The 18,763-nt window shown below is 41.3% G+C and overlaps 1 protein-coding gene and 1 long non-coding RNA gene across 9 annotated transcripts in view, besides 2 other annotated features; one reads left to right on the top strand and one right to left on the bottom strand.

Annotated features, from left to right (window-relative positions):
* Window positions 1–1,554, top strand: part of REV3L (REV3 like, DNA directed polymerase zeta catalytic subunit) — a 184,679-nt gene extending 183,125 nt beyond the window's left edge. For all 8 annotated transcript variants that reach the window (NM_002912.5, NM_001286432.2, NM_001286431.2 and 5 more), the window contains one exon: window positions 431–1,554. In NM_002912.5, coding sequence (NP_002903.3) covers window positions 431–571 — 141 coding nt within the window. In that variant the 3' untranslated portion in view covers window positions 572–1,554. The remainder of the gene's footprint in view (window positions 1–430) is intronic.
* On the bottom strand, window positions 9,116–18,752 carry LOC124901376 (uncharacterized). The gene is made up of 2 exons (XR_007059706.1): window positions 10,855–18,752; window positions 9,116–10,741 (listed from the first exon to the last, which is right to left on the bottom strand). It is a non-coding gene; the product is annotated as an uncharacterized LOC124901376 (long non-coding RNA).
* Window positions 16,394–16,955: an enhancer, noted in NCBI's record as "NANOG-H3K27ac hESC enhancer chr6:111604835-111605396 (GRCh37/hg19 assembly coordinates)". NCBI's record gives its function as "activates a minimal SCP1, AML or CMV promoter by ChIP-STARR-seq in naive H9 embryonic stem cells {active_cell/tissue: H9 hESC(naive)}" and the evidence as "EXISTENCE:reporter gene assay evidence [ECO:0000049][PMID:30033119]".
* Window positions 16,956–17,519: an enhancer, noted in NCBI's record as "H3K27ac hESC enhancer chr6:111604271-111604834 (GRCh37/hg19 assembly coordinates)". NCBI's record gives its function as "activates a minimal SCP1, AML or CMV promoter by ChIP-STARR-seq in primed H9 embryonic stem cells {active_cell/tissue: H9 hESC(primed)}" and the evidence as "EXISTENCE:reporter gene assay evidence [ECO:0000049][PMID:30033119]".
* Window positions 18,753–18,763: the final 11 nt, after the last annotated feature.

Here is an 18,763-nt window from a genome sequence, read left to right as displayed (position 1 = left end):
GCTGTGGCTTCAGCAGGTTGCTTTTCTCTTCTGGAATACGAAAAAGAGTAACTTTTTTATGATTGGCATATGAGAATATAGTCTAAGTACTTTGAAAACGTGTTTATAGTTCATGTAAGAGACATTCTTTGGTAATTGGGTAGCTTATGTAGATTTTAATAGGATTCCATTGTAAATGAAAGTTAATCTTAGGAATTAAATGAATCCTTAGGGAAATTTGTACTCTATCTTTACAAAATAATATCCTTTAGAAATGTCTCAACATAGGGTAGTCTAGGCTTCCAAGAGATTAAAATTAATGAAAGTTTCTGTAATGTATGTCTGCCAGTAATCTGTGGTAGTCTAGAAAGTAGGGATTATAAAAATTTGTTGTTTGCATACACGCATAAAAACTTTCCTATTATTTTTTGTATTTCTCTTATGCTTTCAGATATGCAAGAACTGTACAGGTTGCTTTGATCGACACATCCCATGTGTTTCTCTGAACTGCCCAGTACTTTTCAAACTCTCCCGAGTAAATAGAGAATTGTCCAAGGCACCATATCTCCGGCAGTTATTAGACCAGTTTTAAATTGTCAATATCACAGTATTACAGGTGCTATTTTTTTCAGTGCTTACCACTAAACTGTTGTGCATGGTGCTTTTTAACTTTCATCGAGTCAAGGATGTTCACTGTCTGTTATCTGAAGACTATGAAGACTTCTATGCTAACCGAATTAAAATGTACTTGTTGATCTCTGAATAGCTCACTTCTTACAATGTACAAATTCCTCATTCTGTCACCTTTTAAACATTGTTTTATAATGCAGGTGTTGGATTTGCTCCAGTATGTGTACCATCTTGTAAATTCATTTGAGTAGATCATGTTTACTTCCCAGTGGAAGGAGCACTGAAAACCTCTTAAAGAAAAAGCATTTGTGTGTTTTCCTTGAACTGTCTGTATCAAGACGTGTTACTTCGAGATATCCATTCACTTTATAATTTTGACTGCAAAATATTTTGTAAATACACTTTTTTACTTTTCAAACGAGCAAAATAATGTGCAATGATTTTTATACAAATGATTTTCAAGTTGTTTGGTATATTTCCTCTAGGTTTTGCTTGACTCAAAGTAGATCGTTATTTTGATCAAACTGTGCAAACAGTAGTACCACGTGTAGCATTTTGAAACATTATTTTTTTTTAAAAAATGCTGTCTTGCTTTAGCTATTAATGGGGCATTGTGAGGAACTGTGCAAAGACATTTTTGTTACAAACCTGTGGGCCTGTTGCAATACTTTAAAAATAAAAAATTTTATTCCATTTGCTTGTTTTGTATAGACATTTCTATTGCTTCTAAATATACTTAAAATATTTTCTTTCCTTATGTACTGTACAGTTAATCTTATTTGCCATCATCTTGAACACAAAATGTGTATTTAGAATATTTGTATAACTGTGTAAAATAAAAAAGGAATTATGTGGTCAGTGCATTGTTTTTTAAACTGGAAATCATTTTGTTTTAAAAGTTAATAATGGAAACCATATTAAAATTGAATAAAATATAAAATAATATAGCAGTGTGACTTCATCTTTTTTATAAGCCTGTATTGGTTACATCTTTCTTACCCTACCCTTTTCTGAGTTTTAATGAAGTAAATTATTTAACATATTTTTATATCCTGTTTGATATTGCAATTTCCTTACCAAAACTTCTTCAGGGTTAAAACAAAAAAAAAAATAAAAAAAGGGCAGCAAAAATGGGAAAATTTAATTTAGCACTCATCCTTTTAGAGAGTTTTAAGAGTGTACTTGTTTGTTAGTAGATCTTCAGTGTTCATTTTCATTTTGATATAATTATTAATTAAATTACAGAGAAAGCAAAAACTACATTACTTCTTAAAAACTTAAATGCCAATTTTTATATGCCTATTTTTTTCAATAGAAAAAAGTTAGTTATTATTTTAACAGAAATAACTCACCTGGTTATTTAACAGAAATAGGTCTTCCATTGCCAGAATATGTACTTGCAAATGTTGGGAGGATTCTTTTTCTGAAAATTACATGGTAAATATGGAACCAAAGAGATACATAGCCTGTGTCTGAACATAATTTATTTCAAGTCTTGTTAAGACATAATGAATTTCCACTTCTGGGGATTTTTTTTTGTTTGGGAGGCTGGGGCTAGTCCTCAGCATTGGGGTTTTTTCCCCCTTTTATATGTGTAGATTGATGAAATTCTGTTACTTACAAGTTCTGTGCTGTCAGGACTTCCACACACATCATCTCTTTCTCATCATAGTAACTTGACACAATATTTTCAACACAATAACCATTTTTAACCTGATTGATTGATTATAATTGGATACAGCCATATTAACAAATGGTTATTCAACATGAATGCCTAAAACTAGCTCACACTCAGCCTGTCTCTGGTTCTGTTTTCTGCAGGAAAGCTCCTCCTTTGTAACTGTCCTCAGAGTCTGTAGCTTAACTGCCTTTTAGTGAGGTCCATTTGCTGTTTCACTAACTCATCGGGGAGGGTGCTGAAATTTGGAACTATTTTACCAAGAAATTTTCTTGTAAGGATCTTCCTGTGTTCCATAATTTTCCCTCCTTTTTAGATGATTGGCTATTAATAAAGTTTTGTCTCTCAGATCACAGAAAAAAAAAATTTAAGTATGGCTGAAGAAACAGTTTCATTCTTTAGGATGTTTTCATTTACCTGAAAAGGAGCCAGAAGCTCAGAGACATCAAATAACTTCATTAAACATTTCCTTAATGTTTAATGAATTAAGTGAAACATTAATATTTGTTAAAGTTGTTTAACATTGTTTTCTCTCATTTTTCTCACTTTCTACTCAAGCTTTTCCCTAGATGAATCATGTAATAATCAATTCTATATGGACACAACATAGTGTCTTTGAGGAAGGACAATAAATTTGGAAAAAACATAAAAATGTGAAGAGCAGTTTTAAAGATATGAAGAATTCTTAGAGGAGGTGGCCCTCATCTTGCCAATGGAGCAGGCCACCCAGAGAGCTTGTGGACTCCGTTCAACCCCACTGACTGTCATGGGTTATACCCTCAGTCTCAGATGATGCACCCTACCTGCCATCAAGTGTGCCACCCTGATCACCTAAACATCTTTTCCGGATCTTACATTAGTTAAGTCTTGTAGCTGTGTAGTCGATCTTTTCATCTACTCTCTTTTATTTTCATAACAGTTGGAGTACAGGAATATTCCTTAAGGCCCATCAAATAAGCTTGTTTTGTCTTGAGGGGTCTTGCATTGTTGCCCAGGCTGGAGTGCAGTGGGGCGATCTTGGCTCACTGCAACCTCCACCCCGAGTTCAAGCAGTCCTCTCACTTCAGCCTCCCAAGTAGCTGGGGCTACAGGCATACACCACCACGCTTGGCTAATTTTTGTATTTTTGGTTGAGATGGGGTCTCGCCCTGTTGGCCAGGCTGGTCTCGAACTCCTGAACTCAACGATCTGGCTACCTCAGGCTCCCAAAGTACTGGGATTACAGGCTACTGGGAGCCACCACGCCCAGCCCAAATAAGCTTTTAAATTGACTTCTCTATTGTAGACTAGTATTTCTTAAAATAGTCACATTTAATTTTATAAAGTAAAAATAAATCTGGCTATAAATGACATTGTTAGGGCTCTGCCATCAGCTGTGGAGGTTGGGGGAGATGGCAATGCACAAGTAGCTACTTTTAGGCTGGATATGCCAGACCTCTATTAGTGAACTCTGTACCTCTGGGAGGATGGTTGGCATTCACACCCTACTGATTTTTAATCCCATAATACCATGTGCCCTTTTCCCATGATGTGATGAGAATTGTTACCTTTAACCATTTGAGGTTTTGTTTTGTTTCAGACAGGGTCTTGCTCTGTCACCGAGGCTGGAGTGCAGTGGCATGATCTCGGCTCACTGCAACCTCTGCCTCCTGCCTCAAGCGATTCTCCTGCCTCAGCAACCTGAGTAGCTGGGATTACAGGCATGCACCACCATGCCCGGCTAATTTTTGTATTTTCAGTAAAGATGGGGTTTCTCCATGTTGGCCAGGCTGGTCTTGAACTCCTGATGTCAGGTGACCCACCATCTTGGCCTCCCAAAGTGCTGGGATTACAGGCATGAGCCGCCATGCCCAGCCCATTTGAGTTGTATAATAGTGGATAAAATTCAGAAACATTAATGCCCCAGTTCTGCTTAATAACTAGCTTTGCACAGGCAAATAGTCACAGATTATGTCTATACTTGAAATCCAAGGAGGAAATCAAAACACATGCACCACCTAATCTACTTCTCTGTCTACTTTCCTCAACCTACCCAATAGCTGCATTTTGGCACTTTGGCCAACCTCCAAGAGTGGTTTACAAAGCAAAATATCTTGTGGAGGAGTTCTCATATTCATAAGATCAGGTTTCTTTGTATATCTGGTGAGAAGAGAGTGTAACCAGGAAGGCAGATGAAGCCATTTTTTAAATCAAAAGAACATCTTACTGCCTATGAGTCTTTACCTGTCTTGCTACTGATGCCACCACAAGTGTCTTGAAGGGAAGGACAGGAAAGTTTTGGGGAAAGTGATAGAGTAAGGAGCTTTCATGCTCTAGGCTTCCCCATGATCACTAATGGCAATGCAACTCTTTGGAAGAGTAACTCATTTGGTCATAGATACCAAGTTTAAAAATATTCACACTCTGAAAACAGGATAATACCACCTGCCCCCTGATTACCCGACAGAGGCTTTGCAAATATGAATATGAATATAAAAAGTTACACAGATTTTAAGTATTTGCCATTCAATAAATATTTACTAACCATCAAGATGTGCATGGCATTTCACTCATCTGGAGATACCGAGGTAATCCCCTGCCCTTGTGTATTTCATAGCTGTTTGGGAGACACACATAAGTAAATGGGCATTAGATACAAGATGATGTGAAGATGTCTTTGCTGCCGCCTCCTCCCCTATTGGAAGAACCCAAAGTTAAGAAAGACAAGGTCAGGCCAGGAACTATGGCTCACGCCTGTAATCCCAGCACTTTGGGAGTCCAAGGCGGGCAGATCACAAGGTCAGGAGACCGAGACCATCCTGGCTAACATGGTGAAACCCCGTCTCTACTAAAAATACAAAAAAAAATTAGCTGGGCGTGGTGGAGGCACCTGTAGTCCCAGCTACTCGGGAGGCTGAGGCAGGAGAATGGCATGAACCCAGGAGGCGGAGCTTGCAGTGAGCCGATTGCGCCACTGCACTCCAGCCTGGGCAACAGAGCGAGACTCCATCTCAAAAAAAAAAAAAAAAAAACAGAAAAGAAAAATATAAAAATTTAGCCAGACGTGGTGGGGGGTGCCTGTAATCCTAGCTACTCAGGAGGCTGAGGCAGGAGAATCGCTTGAATCTGGGGGGTGGAGGTTGCAGTGAGCTGAGATCGTGCCACTGCACTCCAGCCTGGGTGACAGAGTGAGATTCCGTCTCAAAAAAAAAAAAAAAGAGAAAAAGAAAAAGACAAAAAATTAGCCAGACATGGTCGGGGGTGCCTGTAATCCTAGCTACTCAGGAGGCTGAGGCAGGAGAATCGTTTGAACCCAGGAGACAGAGGTTGTAGTGAGCAGAAATCGCGCCATTGCACTCCAGCCTGGGGGATAAAGTGAGACTCCATCTCAAAAAAGAAATGAAAAAAGAAGGTCAAAACTGATAATTGCTAGAGAACTCAAGAAAGGCTTAGGAACAGAAGGCCCCAGGTAGGAACGGATTGTTTAAAAGGAAGAGTTAGACTTCACAGGCCACCTTGATTCCACATTTTTAGGTGACCACATCCTGTCTACCGCCCAACAACACACACACACACTTTAGGTTTATTTTATAGAGAAAAAGAACCAGAGAGGCACTGAACTGGGGGACACTAGGCACTGAGGAGAGAATGAGGTATCACTGAGCGCAGGGAGAGGAAGTGGAGTCGGCATGCTCAACGGCAAAGTGAGACCTGCTCACCCTTTCCCAAGGTGTGAGATGCCACGGTCAGGGCCATAGTCCCATCATCACCGTGTGCTGCTGTGACTCACAGCACATTACAATTGATTATCTGCACCAACATTTAATATCAATCCCTCTATTAGACTGCAAATACCACAAGGTCAGAAATCATGCCTGATTTGTGTCCCAACATTACCCAGCACCAGCACAGTGCCTGGATCTTGCTATAGAAGCAATGGTACCTGAGCACCTCAGACAGATCAAAAATACTGGCTAGAGGGAAGCATAGGGATTGTAGCTATATAAAAGCTTAGATTCTTTTTAAAATATGCTTTTATTTTTTCAAGACGGAATTTTGCTCTTGTCACCCAGGCTAGAGTGCAGTGACGCGATGTTGGCTCACTGCAACCTCCGCCTCCTGGGTTCAAGTGATTCTCCTGCCTCAGCCTCCCGAGAAGCTGGGATTGCAGGCACACACCACCACACCCGGCTAATTTTTGTAATTTTAGTAGAGACAGGGTTTCACCATGGTGGCCAGGCTGGTCTCGAACTCTTGAACTCAGGTGATCCACCCACCTCGGCCTCCCAAAGTGATGGGATTACAGGCATGAGCTACTGCGCCTGCCCTAAAATATGCTCTTCTTTTATATGTACTGCTACCAATAATCTACATTTAAAAATAAAGCGGAGGTAATGCACATGTTAATTAGGTCAATTTCACCTTCCACAATGAATACATATTTCAAAACATCATGTTGTACACAACAAATACAATTTTGTCAACTAAAATAAATTTAAAATAAAGCAGACGAGATGTATATTATACACACACACACATATAAGCACACTTCTGTATATGCACTGATATCTGTGGAAGGTGCACAAAAGGGAGTGGTTACCTTGGTGGCGGTTAAGGCTGGGGGGTCAAAAGTGAGATCACTTTTCAATTCACCTTTGTACTATTTGATTTTATTACTAAATGAATATATTACCCCCCATTAAAAGAAAAAACTTTGTGTCTGTTTCTATTGCTACTGGACTGCAGCTATCAAGGCTACTTGATTAGAGTCCTTTTGGAGGTCATTCTTTGCATGGAGCCCCAACAGAGTTCCCCAGGCAGAGTGTGGTGAGCTCCCAGCTGCATTATCTTCCCAGACTTGCCAGGACAACTAAGTGTTTTCATGGCCCATAACCTCATTAGCTTAGTTAGGGTGTCCCACCTGGTTTTCCCAGCCATAACAATTATGGAAAATGTTTATTATTTCCCTTTTGTGGATAGTCTCTTTTACTAAAATTGTGAGCATCAGTTTCTGATTAAAATTCCTCCTTTTGTGGTTGTTTTATTTTTTCTTTGATTGAGTGCCTTGGGAATAATAATAATAGCTGGGTTTTTTTTTTTTTTTTTTTTTTTTTTTTGGAGATTTGCTCTGCTCTGTCGCCCAGGCTGGAGTGCAGTGGCACAATCTCGGCTCACTGCAAGCTCCACCTCCTGGGTTCACGCCATTCTCCTCCTGAGTAGCTGGGACTACAGGCGCCTGCCACCACGCCCGGCTAATTTTCTGTATTTTTAGTAGAGATGAAATTTCACTGTGTTAGCCAGGATGCTCTCAATCTCCTGACCTCATGATCCACCTGCCTCGGGCCTCCCAAAGTGCTGGGATTACAGGCTTGAGCCACCAGGCCTGGCCTTTTTTTTTTTTTTTTTTTGAGACAGGGTCTTGCTCTGTCGCCCAGGCTGGAGTGCAGTGGTGCAATCTCTGCTCACTGCAACCTCTGCCCCCAGAGTTCTAGCGATTCTCCTGCCTCAGCCTCCCAGGTAGCTGGGATTACAAATGCCTGCCACCACGCCCAGCTAATTTTTTTGTATTTTTAGTAGAGACGGGGTTTCGCCATGTTGGCCAGTCTGGTCTCGAACTCCTGACCTTAGGTGATCCACCCACCTTGGCCTCCCAAAGTGCTAGGATTACAGACGTGAGCCACCACACCTGGCCAATAATGATAATAGTTATAGTAGCTAATATTGTTTGCTTAGTAAGTATATTAGTTTATAAGGCTCCCATAACAAAGCACCACAGACTGGGTGGCTTAAACAAAAGAAATCTATTTTCTCACAGTTCTGGAGGCTAGAAGTCTAAGATGAAGGTGTTGGCAGCATTGGTTTCTTCTGAGGCCTCTCTCCTTGGCTTGTAGATGGCCGTCTTCTCCCTGTACCATCACTTTTGGTCTCCTTCTGTGTCTGTCTGGGTCCAAATTTCCTCCTCTTATCAAGGACACCAGTCCTACTGAATCAGAGCCCACCCTAAAAACCTCATTTTTAATTTAACTGCCTCTTTGAAGACACTATCTGCAAATACAGTCACATTCTGAGATACATAGGATTAGAGCTTCAACATATGAATTTGAGGGGGTCAAAATTCAGCCCATAATAATATGTATAAGGCAATACGCTAATTGCTTTACAAATATCTCATTTATATCTGACAGCCAATTGCATGCAAGAACGCTGATGCATGGAGAGATTAAGCAATAAGATTAGGTAGTAGGCGGTAGAGTCATAATTCAAATCCAGGCAGACAGACTCCAGATCCCGCACTCTCCACCACCACCCACACTACATATGGGCTTTCTTCATTCATTCTACCAGATCCATTCAAATTTCCCAAAGGAGGGAAAATGAAGTGCCTGCTGTCACAAGCAAATAGAAAAACACCATTCTCCAAGCCAGTGAGAGGTAGCAGAGGGGCCCCAGCTAGTCCTCAAGTCTGTCCTTGTGAACCATAGTCTCTTACTCCATCCTTACCGCCCCAGGGAGCCTCTAGCAGTGAGTGGTGTGGTCAGAGGTTGGCCACTAAGTCTATGCTCATGCCTGACCAAATCCATGAAGATGAAGTAGGAGTGGGATGACAGAGTCAGCCCCTAATTCCTCATGGAAAGCACAGGGGGCAAAACTTGAATATCACATAGTCATACTTAGGAGCTTGAAATCCAATCCTCTCCTGCCCAGTGGCAAGACTTCTAGAGTGCTGTTTTAGGAGCCAGAAAAGGTCAAGGTTTGCCCAGCATATCTGGCATGAGGCAAAGTATCTAGAGGAAGATCTCTGCCAGAGCAGAGTGCAAAGCTGTAAACTCAAGTCACTGAAAGCAGAGATGGCAGCAGTCAAGGACACCTGGAGTGTCATTTATTATAATTGCTTAGATAAGACAAAGGAGAGTGTGGTCATTTAGTCTCTCTCCACTAAGTTCAGCTTCAACTTCCCCACTTACAAAATATCCTTTCCTAAGTGATATGGTTTGGCTGTGTCTCCACCCAAATTTCATCTTGAATTGAAGCTCCCACAATTCCCACGTGTTGTGGAAGGAACCCAGTGGGAGGCAACTGAATCATGGGGGCAGGTCTTTCCTGTGCTGTTCTCTGGCAGTGAGCAAACCTCACAAGATCTGATGGCTTTATAAGGGATTTCCCCTTTCGCTTGGCTCTCATTCTCTCTTGCTGCAGCCACTTAAGATGTGCCTTTCACAGGGCCTTTCCGCCGTGATTGTGAGGCCTCCCCAGCCACGTGGAACTGAGTCCATTAAACCTCTTTTTCTTTACAAATTACCCAGTCTCAGGTATGTCTTTATCAGCAGTGTGAAAACAGACTAATACAGTGAGTTGGTACTAGAGTGGGGTGCTGCTGTAAAGATACCCAAAACCTGGAACTGGATAACAGGCAGAGAGGGTGGAGCAGTTTAGAGAGCTCAGAAGACAGGAATATGTGGGAAAGTTTGGAACTTCCTAGAGACTTGTTGAATGGCTTTGACCAAAATGCTGATAATGATATGGAAATCCAGGCTGAGGTGGTCTCAGATGGAAATGAGGAACTTGTTGGGAACTACAGTGAAGGTGATTCTTGCTATGTTTTAGCAAAGAGACTAGTGGGATTTTGCACCTGCCCTAGAGATTTGTGGAACTTTGAATTAAGGGAGATAGTTTAGGGTATCTGGTGGAAGTGAGGGAAGAGAGAGACCCTCTCATATTGTTTTATATTCAGTACCTGTTTTAAAAAAAATAATAAATAAACAAAAAAAAACAAGGAAATAAAATCAAAGACAGCCCAGCGCCAGGCCCAAAACTGGACCTGGGCCTGCCTGGCCTAAACCTAGTAGATAAAAATCAACTCATGACTTAGAAACCGATGTTATTCATAGATTCCAGACATTGTATAGAAGAACATTGTGAAACTCCCTGCCCTGTTCTGTTTCTCTCTGACCACCGGTGCATGCAGCCCCTGTCACGTACCCCTTGCTTGCTCAAATCAATCATGACCCTTTCATGTGAAATCTTCAGTGTTGTGGGCCCTTAAAAGGGATAGAAATTGTGCACTCGAGGAGCTCGGATTTTAAGGCAGTAGCTTGCCGATGCTCCCAGCTGAATAAAGCCCTTCCTTCTACAACCTGGTGTCTGAGAGGTTTTGTCTGCAGCTCATCCTGCTACATTTTTTGGTTCCCTGACTGGGAAACGAGGTGACTGATGGATGGCTGAGGCAGCCCCTTAGGCGGCTTAAGCCTGCCCTGTGGAGCATCCCTGCGGGGGACTCCGGCCAGCCTGAGTGCCGCGATCCAAAGAGGGCTCCCGGGTAGGAAATTTCCACAGTGGAACGCCTCACCAGAGCAGCCCGTAGCAGGCCCCCATGGAGGATTAACACAGTGGCTGAACACCAGGAAGGAACTGGCATTTGGAGTCTGGATATCTGAAACTTGGTAAGACTAGTCTTTGGAACTTGCCCCACTCCATCTGAGTGGAAGCGTGGCCTGATCACCCACGGTGTGCCTGTATTGGCACCTTTGTTCTGGTTTTGACTTGGCTTGACTTGGTAGGACTAGTCTTTGGAACTTACCCCACTCCACCTGAGTGGAAGCGTGGCCTGATCACCCACGGTGTGCCTGTATTGGCACCTTTGTTCTAGTTTTGACTTGACTTGAATTGCTGGATACTTTGGTTTTGGTTTTGACCTGGCTTGGATTTCTGGAAACTCTGATTTTGGTTTTGATTTTGGTTTGGTGTAAACTGCAAAAGTGTGTGTGTGCCCTTTTTAACTGTTCTTTGTTTTGTGGTGTGTGTGTGGTGTGAGCGTGTTGTTTTGTCTCAAAGAAGCATGGGCCAGGCACAAATAAGCCCAACCCACTAGGAACTATGTTGAAAAATTTCAAGAAAGAATTTAAGGGAGATTATGGTGTTACTGTGACACCAGGAAAACTTAGAACTTTGTGTGAAATAGGCTGGCCAGCATTAGAGGTGGGTTGGCCATCAGAAGGAAGCCTGGACAGGTCCCTTGTTTCAAAGGTATGACACAAGGTAACCTGTAAGCCAAGGCACCGAGACCAGTTTCCGTACATAGACAGTTATAGCTGGTTTTAGACCCCCTTCCCCGCAACAGTAGTTAAGAGAACAGCAGCATAAGTGGCTGGCAGAGGCAAGGAAAGACCAGCAGAGAGAAAAAAAGGCCATCTATACCAATTCTAAGTTAATTTATACTAAACAAGGTCTTATTAATAGCAAAGGATAATTGAAATCTCAAACTTACAAGGTTTTCAACAAAAGTGAAGTTTGCTAAAAGTTAACAGTGTAACATGTATTATGGTAACTTCTAATCTTGTGGCCTTAGACAGTCTAGTCCAAAGACATAAAGAAAGTTTGCTTTAAAAAAAGGAAAAAAAAAAGGGAAGAGGCAGAATTTATATAAAAAAAAAGTTATATGGTAAATTCTTGTCCTGAAATAAATTAACTGGTTGTTTAAAGAAAAAAATGTTTGCAATAAGTCAAAAAGTTGAGACATGTTAAAAAAATTGCGAAAGTCATGAAAAAAAGTTATAAAAAATTTTATGCAAAAAATGTCGTATAATTTAAAAGTAATAAGGCCTCCTGAGTACCATTGAAAAAACAGTTTATGTGCAAGGTGTATAAAAAAAGTAAAATATACCTTTAGTAAAAAGATTATAAAGAGGCATAAGAATGTGGATTTTTACCTACATTAAAAGGTTAAAAAAATTATTGTTTTGAAAGTTTAAGCAAGTTTTAAAATGTTAATTGTAAAGAAAATTCTGTGTGTAAATATTAGCTAAAGTTAAAAAGGTATCACCCAGTTTTTCTGTGAACTGGACACTAAAGTAAAAATGCAACAGGTTTTTCTTAAAGCATCAACCTGCTCTTTAACAAAAATTATAAAAGGTTAAAAAGAGTCTATAAAATCTTACCTAATGGTCAAACATGAAAAATTGGATAAATATGTCTACAAGGTTTTATTAAAATTAATTTTAACATTAATAACACACTAATATAAAGGTAAAATTTAACCTATCTGGTATAAAAATCATACAAGAAGCATTATTACATATAAAATGGTGTTTAGCTTTCTTTAGTCTAAAAACTAATAAAAATTGGTGCTAAAGAAAACATTCATTTTACTAGAGGATCATAAAAGTTAAAGACTTAAACTTTAGCAATTAAGACAGCATACCAAGATGCAAATGCCTGGTTGAAACGGATCAAATATTCCATCTGCACGTTAAACAAAAGCAATTGTTATGCTTGTGCACATGGCAGCCCAGAGGCCCTGATTGTCCCCCTTCCACTAAGGTGGTCCTCCAGTCGACCAGGCGTGGGCTGCATGGTAGCTCTTTTCCAGGATTCTACAGCCTGGAGTAATAAGTCATGCCAAGCTCTCTCTGCTATATCCCAAAGTCCCTGCGGGTCAGCTCCCGAGGGCCATCCAGCTTCCGTCTCCCAACACTAAGTTCACTTCGTGTCTCTCACGGCTGGGAGGAGACTTAGCATTCCTTGGAGACCTGAAGGGATGCAGTGAGCTTAAGAATTTTCAAGAGCTTATCAATCAGTCAGTCCTTGTTCATCCCTGAGTGGATGTGTGGCAGTATTGTGGTGGACCTTTACTAGGCACTCTGCTGAATAACTAGAGTGGCACTTGTGCTTTAGTCCATTTGGCTATCCCTTTCACCCTGGCATTTCATCAACCAGAGGAAGGAAAAAATAATAATAATAATAATAAGACATCGTAAAGCAAGAGAAGCCCCTTATAGGTCTTTCAACTCTCACATCTATTTAGATGCAATTGGAGCCCCGCAAGGAATACCAGATCAATTTAAAACTTGAAATCAAATAGTTACAGGATTTAAGTCAATATTTTGGTAGATGACAGTCAATAAAAATGTAGATTAGATAAACTACATCTATTACACCCAACAGCAATGAACTTTTCATGAGTTAAAAAAAAAAAAACTCATGTCGGCCCCAGCCCTGAGGCTACCTGACCTGACAAAACTCTTTGCACTCTATGTGTCAAAGAGAAAAAATGGCAGTTGGAGTTTTAACCCAGACTGTAGGGCCCTGGCCAAGGCCTATCTCTCAAAACAACTAGATGAGGTTTCCAAAGGCTGGCCCCCATGTCCAAGGGCCCTGGTAGCAATGGCCCTGTTAGCACAAAAAGCAGATAAGCTAACTCTTAGACAAAACCTAAACATAAAGTCCCCCCATGCTGTGGTGATTTTAATAAATACCAAAGGACACCATTAGCTAATGAATGCTAGACTAACTAGATAGCAAAGCTTGCTCTGTGAAAATCCCCGCATAACCATTGAAGTTTGCAACACCCTAAACCCCGCCACCTTACTCCTGGTATCAGAGAGCCCAGTTAAACATAACTGTGTAGAAGTATTGGACTCAGTTTATTCTAGCAGGCCCAACCACCGAGACCACCCCTAAACATCAGTAGACTGGGAGTTGCACGTAGATAGGAGCAGCTTTGCCAACCCCTGCAAAGTGACTCTGAAGAAGACGACAAGCCCCGCCCCAGTCACACCTGGAAGCTGACTGGTCCACGCACGGCCGAAACATGAGGAAATTCATCGCGGGACCCAATTTCCTTAAAATTTGGACTTGAACAGTAAGGACTTCCACTGACCTTCCTCAGACTGATAACTGTTTCCAGTATATACATCAAGTCACTGAGGTAGGACAAAAGATTGCTACAGTCCTATTATTTTATGGTTATTATAAGTGTACCGGGACTCTAAAAGAAACTTGTTTGTATAATGCTATTCTATCCAAGGTATGCAGCCCAGGGAATAACCAACCTGATGCGTATTATGACCCATTTTAAGCCTCCCATGTTCACAGTTTTTAAAATAAAATTAAGGACTGGTCCTTTTCTAGGTGACACAAGTAAGGTAATAGCTAGAACAGAAGAAAGAAAGGTCCCCAAAAATGTAACCTTAAAATTTGACGCCTGTGCCGCTATTAATAGTAAACAGCATGGGATAGGATGCGGTTCTCTAGATTGAAAAAAAAGTTACACAGCAGAAAATAAGTACATCTGTCAAAAATCATATTTATGTGAGATGTGTCAATACTAGTCTTGTGTCATTTAGGCTACTTAGAAAGAAGATAAAAAATATCCTGTTTGGCTCCAAAAAAAAGAAAAGTCAGCCCCTCCTGCACGAGTAGGAGCTGCAACCCTTTAGAATTGATAATCACAAACCCCTCAGACCCAAAGTAAAATAAAAAAAAGATATGTAACATTAGGCATTGATGGAAAAGGACTAGATCCTAGTATAAGCATCCTAATAAAAGGAGAGGTTCAAAGACGCTCTCCAGAACCAGTATTTCAGACTTTCTATGATAAACTAAATGTGCCAGTACCTGAGATTCCAGGAAAAACTAAAAATTTGTTTTTGCAATTAGCCGAACACGTAGCCCAGTCTCTACAAGTCACCTCATGTTATGTTTGCGGAGGAACCGTAACAGGAGATCAATGGCCATAGGAAGCCCGAGAATTAGTTCCCACAGACCCAGTTCCTGATGAATTCCCAGCCCAAAAGAACCACCCTGACAATTTTTAGGTTCTAAAAGTCTCAATTATTAGACAGTATTGCACAGCTATTGAAGGAAAACAATTCACTCATTCTATAGGGCGGCTTAGTTGTCTTGGGCAAAAGCTGTATAATGGTACCACAAAAACAGTTACATGGTGGAGTTCCAATTACACAGAAAGAAATCCATTCAGTAAATTTCCAAAGTTGCAGACTGTTTAGGCCCACCCAGAATTCCACCAGGACTGGACAGCCCCCACCAGGTTATACTGGATATGTGGACACAGAGCTTATTCTAAGCTGTCTGATCAGTGGACAGGGAGCTGTGTAATTGGCACCATTAAGCCATCTTTCTTCTTACTGCCCATAAAAACAGGTGAACTTCTAGGCTTCCCAGTCTATGCTTCCCATGAAAAACGAAGCATAGCCATAGGTGATTAGAAAAATAATGAATGGCCCCCTGAAAGAATCATACAATACTACCGACCCACCACTTAGGCACAAGATGGCTCATGAGGATTTCGAACCCCCATCTACATGCTCAACCGAATCATATGGTTGCAAGCTGTTTTAGAAATTATTACTAATAAAACCGGTCAAGCCTTGACTGTTCTTGCCCAGCAAGAAACTCTGATGAGAAATGCTATCTATCAAAATAGACTAGCTCTTGACTACTTAGTAGCAGCTGAAAGAAAAGTCTGTAGAAAATTTAACCTTACTAATTGTTGTCTACACATAGATGATCAGGGGCAAGTAGTTGAGGACATAGTTAAAGATATAACAAAACTGGCACATGTACCCGTGCAAGTGTAGCACGGATTCAACCCTGAAGCTATGTTTAAAAGGTAGTTCCCAGCACTAGGAAAATTTAAAACTCTTATAAATAGGAGTTATAATAATACTAAAACCCTGCTTACTGCTCCCTTGTTTGCTACCTGTACTTCTTCAAATGATAAGAAGCTTCATCGCTACCTTAGTTCACCAAAATGCTTCAGCACAAGTGTACTATATGAATCACTATCAATCTATTGCACAAAAAGACATAAGTAACAAAAATAAGAGTGAGAACTCCCACTAATAAAAAGTGAGAGTCTCAAAAGGGGGGAATGAGGAAAGAGAGAGGCCCTCTCATATTGTTTTATATTGTTTTATACTCAGTTCCTGTTTTTAAAGAAAAAAAAGGAAATAAAATCAAAGACAGGCAGCCCAGCGCCAGGCCCAAAACCGGACCTGGGCCTGCCTGGCCTAAACCTAGTAGTTAAAAATCAACTCATGACTTAGAAACCGACGTTATTCATAGATTCCAGACATTGTATAGAAGAACATTGTGAAACTCCCTGCCCTGTTCTGTTTCTCTCTGACCACCGGTGCATGCAGCCCCTGTCACATACCCCTTGCTTGCTCAAATCAATCACGACCCTTTCATGTGAAATCTTCAGTGCCATGAGCCCTTAAAAGGGACAGAAATTGTGCACTCGAGGAGCTCGGATTTTAAGGCAGTAGCTTGCCGATGCTCCCAGCTGAATAAAGCCCTTCCTTCTACAACTTGGTGTCTCAGAGGTTTTGTCTGCAGCTTGTCCTGCTACAGAAGAAATTTCTAAGCAGCAATGCATTCAAGAGATGACTTGGGTGCTGTTAAAAGCATTCAGTTTTAAATGGGAAACACAGCACAAAAGTTTGGAAAATTTGCAGACTGATGGTGCAAGAGAAAAGAAAAAAAACATTTTCTGAGGAGAAATTCAAGCTGGCTGCAGACATTTGCATAAGTAACGAGGAGCCAAATGTTAATCCCCAACACAATGGGGAAAATGTCTCCAGGGCATGTCAGACCTTTGCGACAACCCCTCTCAACACAGGCCTGGAAGTCTAGGAAGAAAAAATGGTTTCATGGGCCAGGCCCAGGGCCCTCCTGCTGTGTGCAGTCTAGGGACTTGGTGCCCTGCTTCTCAGCCACTCTAGCCATGGCTAAAAGGGGTCAAGGTACAGCTCCAGCCATGGCTTCAGAGGGTGAAAACCCCAAGCCTTGACAACTTCCACATGGTATTGAGTCTGCGGGTAAACAGAAGTCAGAATTGAGCTTTAGGAACCTCTGCCTAGATTTCAGAGGGTATGTGGAAATGCCTGGATGCCCAGGTGGAAGTTTGCTGCGGGGGCGGGGCCCTCATGAAGAACCTCTGCTAGGGCAGTGTGGAAGGGAAATGTGGGGTGGGAGCCCCCACACAGAGTCCCTACTGGGGCACTGCCTAGTGGAGCTGTGAGAAGAGGGCCACCATCCTCCAGCCCCAGAACGGTAGATCCACCGACAGCTTGCACCACGCACCTGGAAAAGCCACACTCAACGCCAGCCTGTGAAAGCAGCCACGAGGGAGGCTATACCTTGCAAAGTCACAGAGGTGGAGCTGCCCCAGGTCATGGGAGCCCACCTCTTGCAGCAGAGTGACCTGGATGTGAGACATGGAGTCAAAGGAGATCACTTTGGAGCTTTAAGATTTGACTGCCCTGCTGGATTTCAGACTTGCATGGGGTCTTTTGCCCCTTTGTTTTGGCCAATTTCTCCCAATTGGAATGGCTGTATTTACCCAATGCCTGAACCCCCATGGTATCTAGGAAGTAACTAACTTGCTTTTTATTTTACAGGTTCATAGGCAGAAGAGACTTGCCTTGTCTCAGATGAGACTTTGGACTGTGGACTTCTGAGTTAATGCTGAAATGAGTTAAGACTTTGGGGGGCTGTTGGGAAGCCATGATTGGTTTCAAAATGTGAGGACATGAGATTTGGGAGGGTTCAGGGGTGGAATGACATGGTTTGGCTGTGTCCCCACCCAAATTTCATCTTGAATTGTAGCTCCCACAATTCCCACATCATGGGAGGGACCCAGTGGGAGGTAATTGAAATTATGGGGTTGGATCTTTCTCGTGATGTTCTCATGGTAGTAAATAAGGGGTTTCCCCTTTCACTTGGCTCTCATACACCAAGACTCAGAAAGTATAAAGGTGGGTAGGGAGGTTTTATGGGAACATGGGGAAACAACTGAATCATGCTCCAAGTTAGAACTGTTTAACCAGATTATCACTACAGTTGTTTTAAACAAGATAAAAATAAGGCTGTGGCCACTAAGTGCAGGCTTTCAGCTGCTGGGACCTGCAGGGAAGGGAAGTCAGGAGAAGGATCTCAATTTCTGCCTGACATGCAATTTTCCACTCTAAAACAGAAACATCTATAATCATCTCAATTAGGAAATTATTATTCAAGTAAAACATTTACTAAGACATGCAGTGAGTAACAGCTCTTTGGTAGACTGGATTTTACCAAAGATGTTAGATATCACTAGAGAACTTATATATCATTTTCAAAATGTCTATGTGAAGTACAAATACTATTCCTATTTTAGGAACCCAATACAACCATCACATAAATTTTGGAGCACTCATATTCTAAACTCTGGACAGATTCTTGACTAATTTCTGAAGTAGAGATGCCAAACTCATTTTTAAACATGACTGAAACTGGCATAAAAACAGATACATAGACCAATGGAACAGGATAGAGAACCTAGAAATAAATCTAGACATTTACAGCCAACTCATTTTCAACAAAGGTGCCAGGAATATTCAATGGTGAAAGGACAATCTCCGAAAAAAACAGTGCTGGGAAAACTGGGGATCTATATGCAGAATAGTGAAACTAGACCCCCACCTCTCACTCTATACAAAAATCAAGGCAAAATGGATGTAATACTAAAATATAAGACCTAAAACTATGAAACTACTAGAAGAAAACATGGGTAAACACTTCAAGACATTGGTCTGGGCAAAGACTTTTTGAGGGTAAGTCCTCAAAAACACAGGTGACAAAAGCAAAAATTGATAAATGGAATTACATCAAGCTAAAAAGCTTCTGCACAGCAAAGGAAGCAATCAACAAAGAAACAAC

This window comes from Homo sapiens, chromosome 6 (assembly GCF_000001405.40).
Source record: "Homo sapiens chromosome 6, GRCh38.p14 Primary Assembly".
Lineage (NCBI taxonomy): Eukaryota > Metazoa > Chordata > Mammalia > Primates > Hominidae > Homo > Homo sapiens.
This window is presented reverse-complemented; position numbering and strand designations above follow the sequence as displayed.